We start from the raw sequence: 18198 nt of genomic DNA, 5'->3' as shown, positions 1-18198 counted from the left end.
TCAGCCACTACTTGATACAAATTTAGGCTTTTGTCATTTGACCAGATGGAACTGTTACCACTTTTTCCAGATTTCGGTTGCCAGAAGCTCTGGGTATGCCCTGGGCCACCTGGTGTTAAGATTCTCCAGCCTCCTAGGCCACTGACTTCGCCATTTGTTATTTTTAGGTCAGTGTGGTATCAATAGCTTGCTTAGTTCTAATGCAGCCTGCAAATTTTCAGAAAGAGGATGTTAACGCCTCCTTAGAGCTTCCATGTAGCTTTCTGAACACTGTTCATTCAGTCTTCTGTCATTCATTCATTTATTCAAAAAATATTTCTTGAATGGCAGGCTCTGGGACACAGCAGTGAAACAGACAGCAAGCTCACAGCTACCTTTCCACAAGCAGAGAACTCTCTCTTCCCTCCAATGCAGTTTCCACCAAAAGTGGCCTCTGCCTGTGCACCCAAATGCGTGAATCTGCCATAGCTACTTTTTTTCCCGTCAGGATTTTCCTTCTCTACACTCCTTTTCTGCTTGACCCCTACCTTTGAAGCCTACCAGTGAGGCCAGATCCACTCTGGACCTAGCCTCTGAAATGTCTACTTGCCCTGCAGTAGCAAAGGCTCAGGGATGGGCTTGGGAGAGCCACCAAACCCAAGCCTCCACACAGTGCCCTGTCCTCCAGCACCCAGACTCTCCCACCCTCTCTTTCCCATATCCCACCTCTCAGTCCTTATCCCATCACCTGTGTTAGCCATATATAGCCTCTGCCCTCTGTGACCACCCTGCAGGACTTCCTCACTGCCTCCAGCATACCTTCAGCCCCTGCCTTCACCCCATCCCCATCTTGAGATTCTCCAACTTTGGATGCAGCCCGCAGTCCTACCCTGGCCTAGCCCCTCTACTGGGCAACTCCAGTCTGCCCTCTTCCCCATTGCAGGTGTGGCTTGCAGAACAGGAGGAAGTGGGAGTCCATGACAGACAAGGGTCCTGCCTAGATTGAACCCAGCCCTGGCCTCTGGGTTCTGATGGGCTGACTCATACTGCTCAGCCCAGACAAACCTGTGGGGTCCAGGCTGCCCCCTGCTGGATGCCCAGGGTTGCTATGGCGACCCTCTGCTAGTCTTCCCTGCATGGAGACAATCACAAAATAATAGCAGGGACTATTTTATTCTGTGTCCCACCTGGGAGCCATTTAAGCCTCCCCACTCCTTTCGACACATAATATGTATATTTTTTTGCTTTTAAGATTATTCCTTCTCTTCCCCCTCACTCCAAACCTCCATGGCATAGTCTCTGAAAGCCTCGAGTCTTAAACACAAACACACATACATGCATGTACATGCCGTGCACAGGCTTACACACCACGCCGTAAACATCAAATCGGCCACCCCAGTGCCTGTTAATTGGCAACAAAGCCCCAGGGCCAGCAAAGCACCTTCATCTCACATTGTTCACCACTTAACAGTTTGCAAAGCAATTTTACCTCTGAGCTTATGTGAGAATGTGTGGGTGGTATTTATCACCTCTCCCATTTTCCACGGAGAACACTGAGGCTTGGGATTTGGGGGGCATTGGCCATTGTTACCCAGTGGCTGGGTGGACCTGGAACTAAGTCTTGCTGGCTCTCTAGTTCTGTTTTGCCATAACCAACCCCCTGGGGTGACAGAGTTGGTGGTAGGAGTCGCGGGGAAAAGATCTCCACCCTTTCATCATCTCCACTCTCCCCTTGGTGGCTATCACCTGCCCAGCCATGAGCAGTGTTGGGGGCTGCTGCACTCGGGGGGGCAGGCTGTGGGAGTCCAGCCTCAGCAAGAGTCCTGCCTGCCACACTGGATTCCAGAGCCCCTAACTGCCCTCTGGGTTCCCTTGGTTTCTATCCTCCAGCTAGAAACCTTCCCCAGTACCCCTAGCCCCAGCTGACCCAGCTCTCCACCCTGACCCAGAAGCCAGAGTGCCCTACCCCTCAGCTCCTTCCTGAACCCCCTTCCTCCTCCAAATCACTCTCTTCTTTCCGTGTGGTACCCCTGAATCTTTGCTCTTCTGGTCCCTGGTGGAAATGACCTTGCTGTTTCTCCGTGGTGACTTCCATCTCTGATGGTTGATCCCATATTACAGACTCATGTGGGTATTTGTCTCAACCTTATATTTGTACTAAACAGGCATTCCCACTGACTGCACATGTGTGCGTCTCCATCAGCCAGACGTATCTTTCATAAAGTCCTCTGTCTTACCAAAGAATGGACATTTACATTGTATACAGGCGTCACCACCCAACATGTTTACTTTGAATTTATGAACATTTACACAGACCACACATTTACCTAGAACATTCCCATTTATATGACCGTGTGTGTGGCTATTAAAACACATTTACATTGGCCAGCCAAGGACAGTTCTGGGTTTGCAGACAATACAGACTGCTAGCCTATGTCACTACCACGTCTAGTCCAGATGATCTCTCTTAGCTTGGAGGATTAAGGGTCATTTCTTGGATGTGTCTGAAAGGCACTTCCCTATGTTTGGACTTTGGGTTCCACGGACCAGAACCCACAATAGTACATGCAGAGCTGAGGGGTTCTGGGATGTGTGTGCAGGATTCCTGGAGGCCACTGGGGTGTGTGGCTGCAGGTTTGAGACCAAGGCCTGGGTTCCTGTTGTCTCTCTCTTTGGGAACTCTGTTTAGCAGGGCAGCAGGGAGCAGACTGGGGTCCCAGAGAATCAGGGGCCTGCCTGAGGTCTCCAGCCCTGGAGAGCAGGGTGCACAAGGGGTGACCCTTGGGAAATGGGTATGCCCTGGGCCACCATGTGTGAGTCAGTACGGTCCCGGGGGGCCTCAGTGCCACTTCATTTATTCTACCTACAGCTCCCCCTTTCATAGCAAGGCCTCTGAGGCCCAGAGAGGTCAGGCCAGAGGCTGAGACAAGCTGGGCCTGGATCTCTGTCCCATTTGGCCACAGGTTGGGGCCAGGATCAGGCTGGGTCCTGCTGTGGCTAGAACTGCTGTTTAAAGTTCTCTTGGCAGCAGCAGTCAACATGGGAGTAGAGCCCAGCCTTGGAGTAAGAACATGGATAAATGTGGGTTCAGATCTCAGCTCCACCAGTTTTCAGCCAGCTGGGGAGTGGGGAAGGCATGCAGCTGACACAGTGGCCATGTGCATGGTTGTGTGAGTGGACATTGCCGCTCTGCTGGCCTGGCTGTGTGACAGTAGCTGGGCTAGTGACTTGCCTTCTTTGAGCCTCAGTTTTCCCCTCTGTACAATGTTGCCAGTCATGGATCTGCCTCACAGGTTCACCGCATGTGAAGTGTCTAGCACAGTGCCTGGAACGCAGCCGGTGCTCCTTCAATGGTAACTTGTATGTTAATACTACAATTATTATTGTATCTGGGTGATCTTGGGACTCAGTCTCCTCATCTGTAAAATGGGGTTAATGATGATCCTGAGGGCCCCAGCTATCCACACCTGATACCAAAGTCCTCCCCACTTACCACCCTCTCCCTGTGGCTGCTGTCTGACTGCCCTTTCCTTTCCGGATGTCTCAGGACAAAGCCCAGAGAGAGGGAGGAAAGAAGGAGGCAAGGAAATAGATATCTCACTGTCCATCCATCAGTTAGCAATGGTGGCACCAATTTTCATAGAGAAGGGGAATGTGCAACGTAGCCAGAAAAATATTTCCTCTGTGACTCCAGCAGCCCAGCTGTTCCCTTCCAGGAAAAGTGCTGAGGGCCAAAAAGAAAATAAAGGGAACAATGAGAGAGAGACAAGGAAAGAAGAGAGAGAGGGGTGAGAGGGAAGGGCAAAGCAGTTAGGGACAAGAAGGGCATGGGGCGGGGGAGCACAGAGGTGTGCAACGTTTTGCCAGGGCCTTTCCCGGGCTGCCTGGAACAGCACTCAGCAAGGCTGCCATTGACCCAGCCCCTGCTCTGACCTGCCAGCTGCCAGCAGGCCCACCCTGCAGGAACCTGGGTTCAAAGGCAACTGTGATCCTTAGCACTGTAATTGTGCAGACTCCACTTTGTCCACCCTCTACACTCACACCTGCCATTCCTTCCTGCTAGAATGTTTGACCCCCTCTCTGCCTGTCAGGATCCTACGACTCCTGCAAGACTGTCTCCTCCAGGGAGACCCCTGGGATTCTGTCCCCCCACCACCCCCCAGCTGCCTTTCCCTTCTCTTCCAGCTCTGATCACCACCCACCTTGGATCAGATCTTCCTGTGAGCTGGGTCTACCTCTCCCCTGGACTGTGCTCTGGCAGACTGACCCTTTCATCCCTAGCTTCCTAATATCTCCTGTCAGGGGCAGGACAGCCCAGGGGGCATAACCAGGACCTGATCCGAGAGCTACCCTGCCCATCCCTAGACTTCCACCAGTGAAGCTCCTGACACTGCCCTTCCAGCCTCAGTGGGAGTGCGTGTAAACTAGGCAAGTGGACCAAAGAGCTCCAAGCCCCCCACCCCACACTCCCCAGCCCCGAGCCCTCCCGCACCTCCATACTCGTTAGCTAGAGTGAATACCGGGGGCCCGTCCCAGTTCCACTGCTCACTTCACCATGACCTTAGGCAAGCTCCTTAGCCTCCCCATGCCCGTTCCCTCCCCTGTAAAGTGGGGATACTCACAGAACCTTCCTCATAGGGCCATTGAGAGTATGAAATGAGTAAATGCCTAGATTCTAGGCCGGCCCTGGTGTCTGCTGTCCCAGGGGAAAGGGTTGATAGATATTAGACATTATTAATGTTTCCCAGGCCTCCTTTCTGGGCACAGTTGAGAAGAGCCCACCCTCCCTGGCTGTCAGCTAATCCCGTCCAGTCACTTCTGACTATCAAAGCTCCATCCCTTCCTGGGGTGCTCCTGGGGACAGAGAAGCCCCAGGTTGTGGGGATGGAGATGAGCGAATAATTGGGGCAGACCCTGGCAGGGGAAAAGGTGGTTTTATGCTCTGCCACATCTGCCCCAAGGAGAGAGGCTGGCCCCTGGTCTGTCCCTCTTGGAAGTGGGGGAAACCCCAGGTTCCTGCCTGTGTGTGCCACACCTGCTTACAGACTTACCGTATTTGGGGTGCAGAGAGGAGGGAAGAAGCTCTTACTTTGCTATGAGTCACACCAGTGTCTCCTCCCTCTTCTCGCCTTCCCTGCCCCCTAGCCGTCTTGATCACCATGACAGAGGGGTGTCCTGTGGGGACAAGACCAGAGGGTGCCAATGTGGGTGCCATGTCCATCCTGGGGAGGCGCCTCCATGTAGGTCCGGGTTCCCCGCCCACTGCTCTGTGGCAGGGCGGGGTGGAGTCCCTTACAGGTCACAATGCCTGGACCAGACACATTTCCTTGATGTGCAGCTAGACACAGGTGGGGACAATTGGTGCCTTTACTGACTATTTTACTACTTTACTAGGCCTAGAAGGTGGGGCAGGGGTATGGATGTATTTGCCCCTTGGCAGCTGGGTGTCTGTTCCATCACACGCCACCAGGCTCATGCTGAAGCCCCTTCAACCACCCTTTTATCTCGCCCACTCCCCAGCCTCTAAATGAGGCAGACACCATCCCTGCTTTGCAGATGGAGAAAGCCAGGCCTGCTTGCCCATGCACTTGCTCATCACAGGACTCACCCTGGGCTGCCAGCCACACCGAGGCCACCTGGCACCCCCAGGCAGTGGAGGTGTCTAAGGGCACTTGGCATCTTACACCCCTGGGCTGTCCCCTTCGTGAGTGAGGCTAGCTAATGCCCACCACAAAGGGAGAATTACCAGCGAGGCCTTGAGCTTTGCTCCTGTTTACACTTCAGTTCCCAGTGCACACGGCTGGCTTCAGGAAAGGCCACCAGCTCTTCTAAAGCGGGTCTGGAGCCAGCTCTCTGGTGGGACTGGGAAGACGTGTATGGGATGCAGAGTGCGGGCAGGCTCAGAACTGAGGCCCACGGAGGCAGCAGCCCTGTGTTCACCAGTCAGAGACCCACTGGCCTAGGGATGGGAGGATGAACACAGTAGCCCTGAATTTGTTCACGATGTTTTCCACACTTCAGGCATTAGCTGGCATTTATCTTTAGCCATGAGGCGTGCACGTCCACCTCGCTCTACCTTCAGCACGTTAAGTAAATGGGACTCTGCTGCCAAGTTTAAGCCTAGAAAGAGAGCTGGGCACTGGTCTACTGAGTGGTCTGGGTAGCTCTTGGGAGAGAGGCAGTGATAAAGAGTGGGCCTCAGGGCCATGCCTCCACCCTATCCCACCCACCCCACTGTGGGCCCTGGGGCCTGCTGTCCCAGCGTCTTGGGCTGTGATGTGTGGAGTCCCTACAAGCTGGCTGGCCAGGGCTCCTTCCTCCCAGTGCCCTCAGCCCCTGGTGTTGGGAATGGATGGGCACTGCTCCCTGCACCGCCCGTTCTGAGTGTGTATGTTTGGGAGGAGGGGTGTCTGGAAGTGCAGAGAGGGGTCCACAGCCTGTGAGTCACTGGGAACTTCCTGAAAGCGCACCAGGCCTCTCTCCCCACTCCTGATGAGCCACCACCACCATGCAGGTATTTATGGCTGGTTTTCACGCCCCAGCAGGTGGTGTGAACACACTGTGTCTGAGTGTAAACGCCCATGTTTTGATTTAAGAGTGTGGGGAGCCCTCCTATCGTCTGGGGCCTTCTAGATCTCTCCGCCTCTCGGGCTGCTGGCCTGAGCCACATTGTTTATCCCATAGAGGAGAGCCCACCCAGTGGCCCTTTATCCAACCCTAAACCGCTCGTCACCAGGGCCAGGCCTGGCCGCTGGTCCTGGCTCCACCAGTGCAACTTACCTCACCCCTCTTAGCCCCAGTTTTCTCGTCTGTCAAATGGGCACAGCAGCCACTTCTGTGTTTGCTGGAGGGATTGAGGGAGCCAGCCAGTGCTGTGTCCCTCAGCTTCCGAAGTGGCCAGTGAGAGGCTGACCCGGGCTCAGCCTGCCCCTGGGCTTAGCTCTGCTCTGGGGCCCATTTCCTGTCATATTCTGGGTCCACATCCTGGGCTCTGTCTTGCTCTCCTGGTATTGCTAGCACCTCCACCAATGCCATCCTTATTTCCCAGGTGACGGAAATACCACAGGGTGGGCTCAGAAGAAGCAGGTAGATGCTCAAGCCTGTTTGGGGACCCCTGGAACCAGGGTACCCCTCCTCGACCACCTCCCGTGCAGGCTCAGGGCAGCCATGTTGAGGGGGTTGTGCTTCCAGGATGGCCTGGGCAGAGAAGGGATAGAGAGAGAGGGCACAGCCCGGGTACAGCTGTGGCTCCTCCGGCACAGCTGGGCAACCCTGAATGGGGGCTTTTGCCTGTGGACTGGTGAAGGAGCTGCAGAAAAGTTCTGCTCGGGACACCTACCCTGACACACACGACAGAGACACCACACACATGTTCAACATGACACATACCACAGAGTTCGACAACACAACACAGCTACGTATCCTTCCTAAACTCCCCAGCGTAGATACATTCGCAAAGCAGATGCCGCTGCCCCAGCTAGATTCACGGTCACAAGGACTCTCCCCTGGAGGGCTCCTGAGTGCCGGGCCCTGCCCCGTGGCTCTGATGGATTCTCCCAGCGTGTCCTCACCACTCTTTGGAGCAGGTGCCACATTCAGGAATGAGGGCGGAGCGGGGAGGGACTTGGCCAAGTGCTCTGCCCAGAGGAGTCCACATTTCAGGAGGTCCTTGAGCCATTGCACCCCCACCCCCATTTCCCTGTTTACAGCTGTCACCCCCTGCCCTTTCCCATGCTGGAGCAGGAAGAGGTGGGAATGAAAAGTGTCCTCCCTGGAGGTGGCACCAGACTCGGGAAGGAAGCTTTCCCTTGGGTTTGCTGCCCCTGGGCCAGGGCTGTGGGTGCTGCCCTCTGGGGGTTAAGCCCTGAACCATGGTGCTGGGGTGGCCACCTGCAGTACCCCCACCTCCATGCCACCCCTGTGATGAGGGAGTTTCTCAGACACTTTGCCCATAACCAAAGGCATGGCATGCCCGAGAATGGCAGGGAAGGGGGTGGCAGGCCAAGGAGCCAGGAGAGCCCCTGCGGAAGCTCTGTAGGCCTGAGGCTCCCAGCTTTCCCTCCCGCCATCCAACCCCGATGCCCCATGGGCCTCTCAGCCCCTCCCTGTAACCGGACCATTGCTGGTGTCCCAGCAGCCCTTCTCAAGGTCTGACCTAGACGGGGAGGGGAGAGGGCCCTTCCCACTGCGGACCTCCCTACCCTGAGGTTTGCCTCTGTCCCCAGTCCTGCCCCAGGGCCCTGGGTCTCCCCTGATCCTGTGGACAGCCCTGCTCTCCTGCCTAGTCCAGCCCACACAGCCGTCCTGCTCCCAGCACCATCCAGGGGACCTGAAAGACATCTCCATCCCCTATCTGACCAGGCTGCCCTGACTGATACTGTAAGTGCCAGCCCCAGCTGCCCTCACCCTGATAAGCGGGTGACAGACAGGCAGGTGTCCAGGGCACGGGGAGTTCTTGGGCAGAAAGAGAGCTCCTGGGAATGCCACACCACCACACCACAGTGGCTGTCAGAGAGTGCGCTGTGTGTGAGTCTCTGTCTCCTCCCAGAGCTAAGTCCAGTGGTGTGGGGAGAGGCACCAAGCCCAGGCTCCACAAGCTTCCTTGCTGACTCGCTGCATGGCCTCAGGCAGCTAAGGCACCTCTCTGTGCATCTGCAAAGAGGCCTCAGCGGGATAGACCAAGGCTGCACAAGTGAGATAAGGGGTGCAGAGAGGACCCCTGGGAGAAGAGGCTCAAAGCGTATTTGATAAGAATTTTCGGGATTCCCTCTTTTCCTCTGGGAGAAGGGAAGCACTTGCAGAAGTAATGCCCTGCTGGGGGATTTCCGGACCCGGAGATGAACCTGTCTGCTGCCCAAGCCCAAGTGCCGGTCCCAGCCTTGCTCCCTGTGTGGTATGGAGCAGACTATGGGGGCTCTGAAGGGCTTCCTAGGGCCAGGTTGGGGAGAGGGGCACCTTCCCTAGGCCCAGACTGCCCTCCTGGCCTTCGTGTGGCCCTTGGCAGAGCTGAGCACTCCATGGGCACCTAAGTGTCCAAATTAGGCTGCCTGGAAGGGAACATCTCAGAGACTGCAGACCCCCAGCCTGAGGGGAAGTGGCCTTCCAAGCTCTTCACATAGAGGAGCCAAAATGCCAACCTTCCCAGCTGTTCTTTCTATCCTCCTTTCTCCCTCTCCCCACACCATGGGGCCTCTCCCTGTTGGCAGCTCTGACTCGAGAGGCCTGCCTCTGTTTCCCTCCTCCACTCCCTGGGGGTGGGGGTCCCCCATGCATGGTGAAGCCTAGGATGAACCAAGCCCTGGCAACTGGACACCTTCCCCCTCCGCAGCTGTCTCCCCTCCCACTGCTGTCCTGGACTCAGGTCTTAATGGAGCGTAAACAGCCAGGCAGACGGAAGCCTCATTAGGCCTGATCTAATTAGGAGCCCCTGAGATATGGGGGTGGAAGGCAGAGGTGGAGGAGCGCCCCATTTATGAGGGCCTACTGTCCACAAGAAATGTCACACGCATATGCTCTTAGAACCCTTCCCACAACCCTCCAAGATAGGCATGAGTATCCCCAGGTGGCATGAATGGAAAGCGGCTCAGAGAGGGCAGGTGACTTACCCAAGACCACTCCGCCAACAGGTGGCTTCCCTGGGATGTGCACCCTGAGTGTCTGACCCCAGTGTCTAGTTCTTCCCAGCATCCCAGCTGGCCTCAGCCTATCAGGCTGGGCAGGACCTCTGACATCCTCTGTCGCAGGTTTGTCCAGCTGCTATCTGAACCCACAGTGCTGGGACAGCCACAGCCCCGTTTCTGGCTCTCTGTGTCTCTGGGCCTCTTCTCTCTCCCAGCACCACCTGACTCCACAGTGGGTCAAGATGGTGGGAGACGGGGTGTGGGGCCAGTCAGGCTCTCAGCCTCCTACCACGCCCACTCCTCATCTGTCTCCTTCTGTAATTGGGGAGGGTGTAGGGGGAGCCCATGCAGTGCCAAGAGGCCGGCCGCCCCTTCGTTAGTCTTAGCTAACAAGCTGTTTATGGGTGCGACATGACACCTGCTTTCTTCTTTATAACTTCAATAATTTATAGGCATATTAGTGGACAAGCAGCCGCCCTGGGTCCCAGCCAGACGGGCCGGGGTGATGCAGCTGGGTGCCTCTGCTGATATTTACTCTCTCCCACCATCAATTATTAAGGAGCCCTCCTTCGTTTTTGCACATAATTACATGCACCGTTATGGTTCAAACTCCCCTGCTCTTAATCTCTCTGGAGAGGGACCCAGCCTACCCAACAGGGCTGAGATGGCATGGGGACCCATCAGCTGGAGAAGAAGGCAGGCAGCCACCCTACCTGGGCGAGAGGTGGTGGCAGCCTCAGCCTCGCACCCCACTCTCAGCTGAGCTGGCACCTCCTTGGCCAGCAGCGGCCTTCCTCAGGGCTGGCTGTCTCTCCCCTCCATCCCAGGGCCCAGCCTTTGCACCTGCTGTTCTGCCTGGAGCACCAGCCTCTACCTTCCGTGTACCTGACTGATCCCAACTCATCCTTTGATTTCAGCTCAGCCATTGCTTCCTTCTGGATGTCTGACCTGCCTGCTGTGTGTGTGCAGCCCCACCCCCACTTCTCCCACCTCAGCCTGGATCACACTAGGTTGAGTCTTGCCTGCCAGACCATGGGCTTTGGAGCCTAGAGAAAACTGTGGCAAATGTTTGGCATTTGATGAATGAATGAATGAATGAATGAATGAATGAATGAGGAGATGAATGGATGGATGCCTCCACCTGTCTCACCACCAATGAGCCCACTGAAGCATTCGCCTTCACCCTCCTCCCCCAGGAAGCCTCTCCTGTTTGCTCCACCTCCTCTGGACTCCTCCAGACTCTCCTGGTCTGTGCTGAGATTCCCCAGTGGGCACCAAGGCCTGGTCTCCGTCTATGTCCCCAACACCAAACAGAGGACAGGTCAGAATGGAGGGAGGGTACATCCTGACAATCTCAGCTGTCAGTGTGACCTGGGGAAGTTGCTCACCCTCCCTGATCCTGTTTCCTAACTGCTAAATGAGGATAATAACAGTCCCTACTTTACAGGGTGTGATTGAGGCTTATATAATTTGTAAAAGCACCTAGTATGTGGCCTAGCATGCCAGAGGTGCTCAAGTAATATCCTTAACCTCACCCGTTGTCTGTCCGTGATTTGAGCCCATGTGAAATTGAACCATACTGAATTACGTTGGATTGAATTGTCTTATTTACGCCTTCTCTCGTCCACACTTCCTTGTTTTTAGTCTCCCCTGCCATGTAGCTGGGACCAGGCTTGGCTCACAGGGTCTCTGCAAATATTCCAGGTTGATTAATCAAGACTTTGCGAGTCTCTCAAGCCACACCTATCTAGGGAAAGGAGTGAGTGTCTCCCAAGTCACAGAAAAATAAACTGAGGCCAGGGAGATAATGTGGACTCCTCCAAGTTAATGACAGAGTGAGGAACCAAGTCCTGGCTTCCTGCTAGGCTGGAAAGCCCAGGAATATCTCCCTGGATTCTGTGTGCCTCAGTTTCCCCACTGTAAGATGAGATAGTAATAGAAGGGAGCCCATAGCGTTGCTGAGAGGATTGAGCGGGTTGCTGAGTGAGTGGATAACACACTTAGAACCACCGTGCTGCTCATGGTGTGGGGTTCAAAGTGTGGGGATCAGGATAGGCCTGACTCTGCCACCTCCCCTTCTCTCTCCCTAGAGGTGACAGTCCTCTGGAATTGGTGTTAATCACTGTCCTGCGTGTTTTAATACTTTTCCTATATTTGTAGGTATCCATATTCAGTTTATAGGGCTTGGGGCTTGTTTTTAAACTTGAGATAAATGGTATACCTTGTACATATGTTTTTTCCTCCACATCGTGTTTATGAGATCACCTATGCTGATGCAAGTAACTCCAACATAGCTGTTTTCACTGCTGCATAGTATTCCATTGTGCGAATGTACCGTGTTCTGTACATTCCTTTTCCCAATGATGGGCACTTAGGCCATTTCCTGTTTTTCGCTATAACAATCCTGCCATGCGCGCTCCTCTGCTTGCCCTCGTGTGCTCATGCCTCGGGGAACTGCTGGGTCGTAGGGTGTGCGTCTTTCCACCTTTACTGGATAACCACCAAGTTGCCGGGCCATTCCTTGCCCCCCTTGAGAGCAGACACTTTGCCTGCCTTATCTCAATACCCTCGCCACACTGGGAGAAAGGAGTTACTATACCCATTTTACAGATGGAGCATGAGTTTAATTATCTATTGCTGCATAACAAATCACTCCAAAACTTAGCTTAAAACAGCAAATATGTATTACCTCCCAGTTTCAGTAAGTTGGGAATCCAGGTGAGGCTTAGCTGGGTACCTCTAGCTCAGGGCCTCTCACAAGGCTCCCATCTAGACATCAGCCGGAGCTTCAGTCATCTCAAGGCTCAACTCAAAGAGGAGCTGTTTCCAAGCTCACTCAAGTGGCGATTGGAAGGTCCCAGGGCCTCATGGGGGGTTGACTAGAGACATCAGTTCCTTTCTATGTGGGCTTCTCGTAACATGGCAACTGGCCCTCCTCATAGCAAAAAGCAAGTGATCGAGAAAAGGTACCCAAGATGGAAACCACAGTTGTTTTGTAATCTAATCTCACAAGTGACATTGTGTCACTTCTGCCGTATTCTGTTCACTAAAAGTGGGTCCACTGATCCAGCCCACACTGAAGGGGAGGGGATTACACAAGCAGGGCAATACCAGAAGGCAGGGACCACTGGGAGTCCTCTTAGGGGCTGCCTATCACTGGGCAACTGAGACTCAGAGAGGTAAAGTGACTTGCCTAGGGTGACACAGGAGTCAGAGACAGAGTCAGAACTGGAACCCAAGACTGCCTGGCCCTGATGCTGGGCACCTTTCGAGCCACTATGCTGCCTTTGACTTAATAACAGGCTCCGACTTAAGTTAATAAACAAGTCTCCTGCACAACAGAACTTAAGGCAAGCGCTTAATGAATGGATTTGCTAATAGTGCTGCCTGTTTGCACACATTAGCTCAAATTCCCCCTGACATGATCCATGGGGACAGCCGAGCCAGGCTCTCAGGAGGAGCCTCTCTGCCAAGCACAGAGCCCAAGTTCCCATGGAGCCAGGGAGTGATCTTACATTTTCTATTTGTTTTTTTGTTTTTGCTCCTAATCTAATTTTTTTTAAAGGAGTGCACACTTCCTTGACTTCTTAAGAACAGCTAACTGCATCCCACAGTAACTCAAGGTCAGGAACACTGGGTGTTTTCCTGGGGGGAACTTCGGCGGGGGTAGTGCTGAGGGGCCCTTTACGGACTGGCCCCAGACCAATTTCTTGCTTCTCAGCCACTGTAGACACAGCAGCCAGGCCACCCAGTGCAGAAGGGCCGTGGCAGCACTGAGTGGGGGCCAGGCCCAGACCTCATTTCTCTGCCAGGGCTTCTGTCTTGAGTTCTCCAAGAGCCTTTGGGCTTCCCCGGATTCCCAGTGAGATTCCCAGTAGGGGAGGCTGCTGACTACGTTGCTTCTAGACAAGTGACCTGTCACTGGTGCTGAAACATTTCCTTGGAGGCATGGGTGCCCCATGGTGAGAGGGAGTAAGAAGTATGGATTCAAGAGTGTCCCTGCCCCCATGCCCTGGCCCTCCTCTCTAGGGGAATCTACTGGGCCTTCCTGATTAAGAGACTTCAGTCAGGTGTAATTTGTAGACATCAGACCCTCTGGAATCAGGGCTGTGGGCTGGCTGTGGAAACTGGAGGAGACAAGATGAATCCAAGCCCTCAGGGTGTTCCTGATTCTCAGGCGACAGAGAATGTGGTCCAGGTGTCTCCGAGTGGGAATGCTGAAAGGGACCTTAGGCTAGAGCCCTGACTTTAAAGAGAAGGGGTCAGGAGGCAGCCAGTGACCATGACAGTCAGTATGATCACCTAAAAATACCTGCATTTATCAAGCTCCTACTACATCAGCATCAGGTAGATACCAGCCACACGTTAAGCCATGAGACCCTCACACCACCCCGTGAAACCGACATTATCTTACAGAGGAGGAAACTGAGACTCAGGAAGGTGTCCAGGGACATACAGCCCCGCCCGAGGGGAAGGTGAGGTTCTCAGCAGGTTTTTGGAAGGAGGGGGACACACAGGGACCTGAACTGGAAGGGGAGAGGATTTGAGGGGCTGAGAAAGCTATCGATGACAAGACAAGCATGAAGTAAATGCCAGGGAAGAGGATGCCCCAGTTAACGGGGGTGGGCCTCCCACACACCCTTGCCCTTGAGTCTTGGCCTCAGCCTGCACCCACCATGGATGTTCCCTGGGAACCTGCATATCTCCACACCAACTTGGGCCAGCCACTGTGGGGAGAGAACCCCTCCAGGTGAGCCCCTGTGCCTTCCCCATGTTGGCTGCCCCATGCAGGATGTGGAGGATCCAGACTTGGGCAGCACTGGATGAGGGACTTTCCTTTAAGATACTCAGGCCTGACCCTTTGTGACATGCTTACATGGGAAGCTGGTGTCCCCAAGTCTGCTCTGACTCTTGAGGAGGGGGTCAGGAGGGGGCAGGAAGGCTCTATACCGAGCCACATCTCCAGGACCACCTCCAAGAAGGGACTGTCCCGCTAGCCCCCTCAGGTGCCTCCATCCCTGTCTGGCCTCCACAGTGCACCAGCGCAGGGCCTGACCTATGGATTTTCTGCCACTTCTCAATCCACTTCACTCTAGCCTAGTACTTCATTACACAGCGGCCTCAGCAACCCCATCATGGAGGGCTGTGGGTCTCTGTGGTGGCTTCTGGAGGCTACATGGCCCCCACCTTCTGGACTTCAGCCTTTTAGGGGATCAGGGTCGTCCAAGGAGCCCTGAGCTTAGAGACCCCCCCAGGGCAACCTCTCATTGCATAGCTGGGGAAACTTTGGCCCAGGGAGTGGCTGTGACCCCCTCAAGGTCACACAGCAAGTTAACAAGTTAACTTGTGGCATAAAGTAGAACACGGGGTCCACCTGAGCACCCAGCTCCACAGGGCCCCCCAGCTGGATGCTGGCTCCACCTCACTCCCCCAGCCCTGCTCCATGCCCAATGCCAGCTGCCCAACCCCCACTCACCTCCAAGGCTCCTGGTCTCCGTTTTTCTTGCTAATTAGAGGTCTCAGCAATGACTCTGCTGTCCCAGCCATTTTAGAGCCGTCATTAATTTCAAGTGCCTTCAGAAATAATCATCATCGTAAAACCCTGCGAGCTGCTGGGATGCCAGTGGATAGGACCAGCATAGAGCAGGCATGTAGGCAGGCCTGTGTGTGCCACCCTCTCCTTTCTGTGCCTGGGGGACCCTTGGTCCTTGCCCCAGCTCCACCTCCTGCCTCCTCAGCCTCTCAGAGTGAAAGGAGAGCAGGACTAACATTAGATACACACAGAGCTTCAAAGCCCAGCTCTAACTCGTGCACAGAGTGAACTTGAGCAAGTCACCAGCCCTCCCAGAGCCTCGGTCTTCTCATCTGTACAGTAGGAACAGCAATGCCAATCTTGCAGAGAGACAAAGATGTGAAGTGTGGCTGAGTCTGGCTTATAGTAAGGGCTGAATACATGGTGGAGGGCCTTCTCCCCTCCTCCTGTGTTCCCGGGCAAACCCATTCCAGCTTCTCCACTTTGCAGTGAGCAGTCAGGCTGGCTCCTTCCAGCCACTGGCTCCTGCTTTATTGGGACTTGCTGAGTTCTCAGCCTGCAGCCAGGGTCTGCTGTGTGCCCACCTATGAGACACGCAGTCTCAGATCTGCTCTTGGGAGCACCTAGTCTGAGGATAGAGGGAAAAGATTTGGGCCTTGCCTCTAATGTCATTTCAGTCTGGGGAGAGGAGACAGGAATAGAAGAGATGGGTCTTGGTTGGGTTTTGAAGCACAGGTAGAAATCAGGGAAAAGGCACGCCACCAGGGTGGTCCAGCAGGCACAAAGGCCTGGGGTGCGGGGAACATTCTTCAGCTGTAGCTCCTGGACATGATCCCCTGGTTGTGCCAGAGCACACTTGGACTAGGCCATCCCGGTGTGTCACATTCTCCATGGCCCTGGGACCCCTGAGAGGACTCTGCTGGGAACCACCCCACCCGACAGGAGAGGAGAGATGCCTGTTCCACAGCTCATGCAGAGGTAACTGGGTGGGGACCCAGTGACAGACCCCCTTTTCCTGGAGTCTCTAGGTGACAATGCCAGGGACCCGTACTCTCACCAGGCCCAAACTAGACCCTCAAAAAGGCCTATCCTCCAAGTTGTTCCCCCAAAGCTCCCCGTCGTTTCCATTGGAATAAAACAGGGAGAGCTGGGAGGGGTCATGTCTTTTGGAGACAAAGGGAAAGGGGAATGGCTTGGATGCCATTGACAGTGGAGAACCGAGGCCAAGGGGCTCTTCCTCCCAGACACAGCTCCGTGGTCATCCCTGCTGCCTCCGAGGCGCGGAGGGATCATTGTGGGCACCAAAATACCCCACCCTAGGACCCCAGCTTCCTCCGGTAGCACCTGGGGGTTAGCGGGGTGGAATGAGTGGGCTCTCCCCCATTTCTCCGCCGAGATCACTGAGGCAGGGAGCAGGTGAGTCGGGGGCGGAGAGATGTGGTGGCCGCGCCTTGCCTGCGTCAGTCACCGCACCAGGAATAGCCCTCGCCCCCGCCCCCGCCCCCCAGCGGGTCTGCGCGCCCGCCGGGTGCCTGGCGGAGCCTTTACGCAGGAGCCAGCGAGCGTCTATTCCTGTCGGGCTGGTGGGAGGAGGCGGCGCGGGAGGGCGGGAGCGCACGGGTAGCTCACAAACAGCCGGGGTGGGGGGGCTGGGGAGTCTGGGGAGGGGTCCAGGCAGCGCGGAGTTGAGGGACCGGGGAGTCGCCTGCGCTGGGCTCTGGCAGGGAGGGGGACTCCTGTGCTGGCCTCCCTGCTTCACCTCCCACCTGTAAGTCCTTCTGCCGAGCCTGCCCCCTGCTGGTCCATTCAGCCATAGAAGACGAGTCCAGTTCCCTTTCCGTGGCTTGCTGGCTGTGTGACCATGGGCAGAGCCTGGAACCTCTCTGGGCCTGGGCTTCCCTCCCTCTGTCACAGGGGAACAATAGTGCCTCCCCCAGAGTTGCTGGAGGGTGAACGTACAGTTCACAGTAGAGCATAGCATGGACGCCTGCTAGGAGGGACTCTAGCTAGGCCTAGGTTGAGGATGGGCATAGACATAGGAGACAGGAGAAAGTGCTCCAGACAGGACTGTCCAGAGCAACGGTGTGCCAGAGAGACTGAGAAGTACCCAGAAATGGTGCAGCTGGAACAGAAGGTCTGTGCAAGCCTTTGGGCTGTGTGTGAGGCTGAACAGCGAGAAACAAGGTGCTGTTGGGGGTGGGGAGAGGTCCCTCCGTGGCAACCAGGCATCTCTGCAATGATGTTGCGCAGGCTTCCTGGGAGAGGGGGTGTCACTGGAACTGGGATTCCAGCGTCTGCCCCAGAATCCGAGAGGCTTTGGGCTAGATCCCCTCCCCCAGCCTCAGCTGCCCCTGTGGACTCAAGCTATTAGGAGTATTCATGTGCTAATGGGTTGTTCCCAGCAGGGGAGGAGGGATGGCCGTGCCGGGCGGTGTCAGCATTGATGGTTATTCTAATAAAACTGGCTTGGTGGTAAAGGGCGTCTGGCTTCAAGGAGATGGAGGGGGTAGTATAGGGAAAAAGGTGAGGTCCTGAGGGTGGTAACCTACTCTGCAGGCTTTGCCAAGACATCCCTGCTGGCCTAGTTTCTGTATCTGAGGATCAAGGAGGATCTGGATCTCCGAGGAGAGGTCCCATTCCTTGGGCCCGTCTGAAGTTGTGGCCCCAGCCGAGGATCCCCGGGACCATTCCGGGAGGAGGGAACAGTCAAGCCCAGGCGGAGGCTCTGCGCTGCCCTCTGCTGGCCACTGGGTGCAGGGCCTCCGGACGGAGCGGGCCAGAGAGGCCTGCCGCCCTCTGCTGGACAGGAAGCCAGGCTGGGCGGGGACCCCGGCTCCTGGGTAGAGCTGCCGGGCCAGCGCGGCTTCCTCGCCGTCCCCTGGAGCTTCCCATTCTGCCTGCCTCGCCCTCCCGCGCTAGAATGTGGGCCCTCTAGCCTCGCGGACTTTCGAGAGGAGGGGACAGGGCCAGGACGGGGGCTCCCGGTCGGCCTCCCCATGCCGCCCTCCAAACAACCCTGTTCGTGTAGGGAGCCCTGTCCGTCCTCGTGCGTGTGTTCGTCCACAG

At 55.5% G+C, this 18198-nt stretch overlaps 1 protein-coding gene and 1 long non-coding RNA gene across 15 annotated transcripts in view, besides 4 other annotated features; one reads left to right on the top strand and one right to left on the bottom strand.

The window, feature by feature from the left end:
- The window catches only part of LINGO1 (leucine rich repeat and Ig domain containing 1), a 207874-nt gene that overhangs the window by 169359 nt on the left and 20317 nt on the right, over positions 1-18198 (top strand). The window lies entirely within an intron of this gene.
- Positions 900-1400: an enhancer, noted in NCBI's record as "H3K4me1 hESC enhancer chr15:77942484-77942984 (GRCh37/hg19 assembly coordinates)". NCBI's record gives its function as "activates a minimal SCP1, AML or CMV promoter by ChIP-STARR-seq in primed H9 embryonic stem cells {active_cell/tissue: H9 hESC(primed)}" and the evidence as "EXISTENCE:reporter gene assay evidence [ECO:0000049][PMID:30033119]".
- LINGO1-AS1 (LINGO1 antisense RNA 1) lies at positions 2302-9778 on the bottom strand. Its single transcript, NR_045123.1, has 3 exons — positions 9585-9778; positions 5031-5154; positions 2302-3703 (listed from the first exon to the last, which is right to left on the bottom strand). It is a non-coding gene; the product is annotated as an LINGO1 antisense RNA 1 (long non-coding RNA).
- Positions 5466-5966: an enhancer, noted in NCBI's record as "H3K4me1 hESC enhancer chr15:77937918-77938418 (GRCh37/hg19 assembly coordinates)". NCBI's record gives its function as "activates a minimal SCP1, AML or CMV promoter by ChIP-STARR-seq in naive H9 embryonic stem cells {active_cell/tissue: H9 hESC(naive)}" and the evidence as "EXISTENCE:reporter gene assay evidence [ECO:0000049][PMID:30033119]".
- Positions 17248-17811: an enhancer, noted in NCBI's record as "OCT4-NANOG-H3K4me1 hESC enhancer chr15:77926073-77926636 (GRCh37/hg19 assembly coordinates)". NCBI's record gives its function as "activates a minimal SCP1, AML or CMV promoter by ChIP-STARR-seq in naive and primed H9 embryonic stem cells {active_cell/tissue: H9 hESC(naive and primed)}" and the evidence as "EXISTENCE:reporter gene assay evidence [ECO:0000049][PMID:30033119]".
- Positions 17677-17806: an enhancer, noted in NCBI's record as "active region_9898". NCBI's record gives its function as "activates an Ori minimal core promoter by ATAC-STARR-seq in GM12878 lymphoblastoid cells {active_cell/tissue: GM12878}" and the evidence as "EXISTENCE:reporter gene assay evidence [ECO:0000049][PMID:35858748]".

Source organism: Homo sapiens, chromosome 15 (genome assembly GCF_000001405.40).
Source record: "Homo sapiens chromosome 15, GRCh38.p14 Primary Assembly".
Classification (NCBI taxonomy): domain Eukaryota; kingdom Metazoa; phylum Chordata; class Mammalia; order Primates; family Hominidae; genus Homo; species Homo sapiens.
The sequence above is the reverse complement of the archived record's forward strand: the minus strand, read 5'-3'. Positions and strand labels throughout refer to the sequence as shown.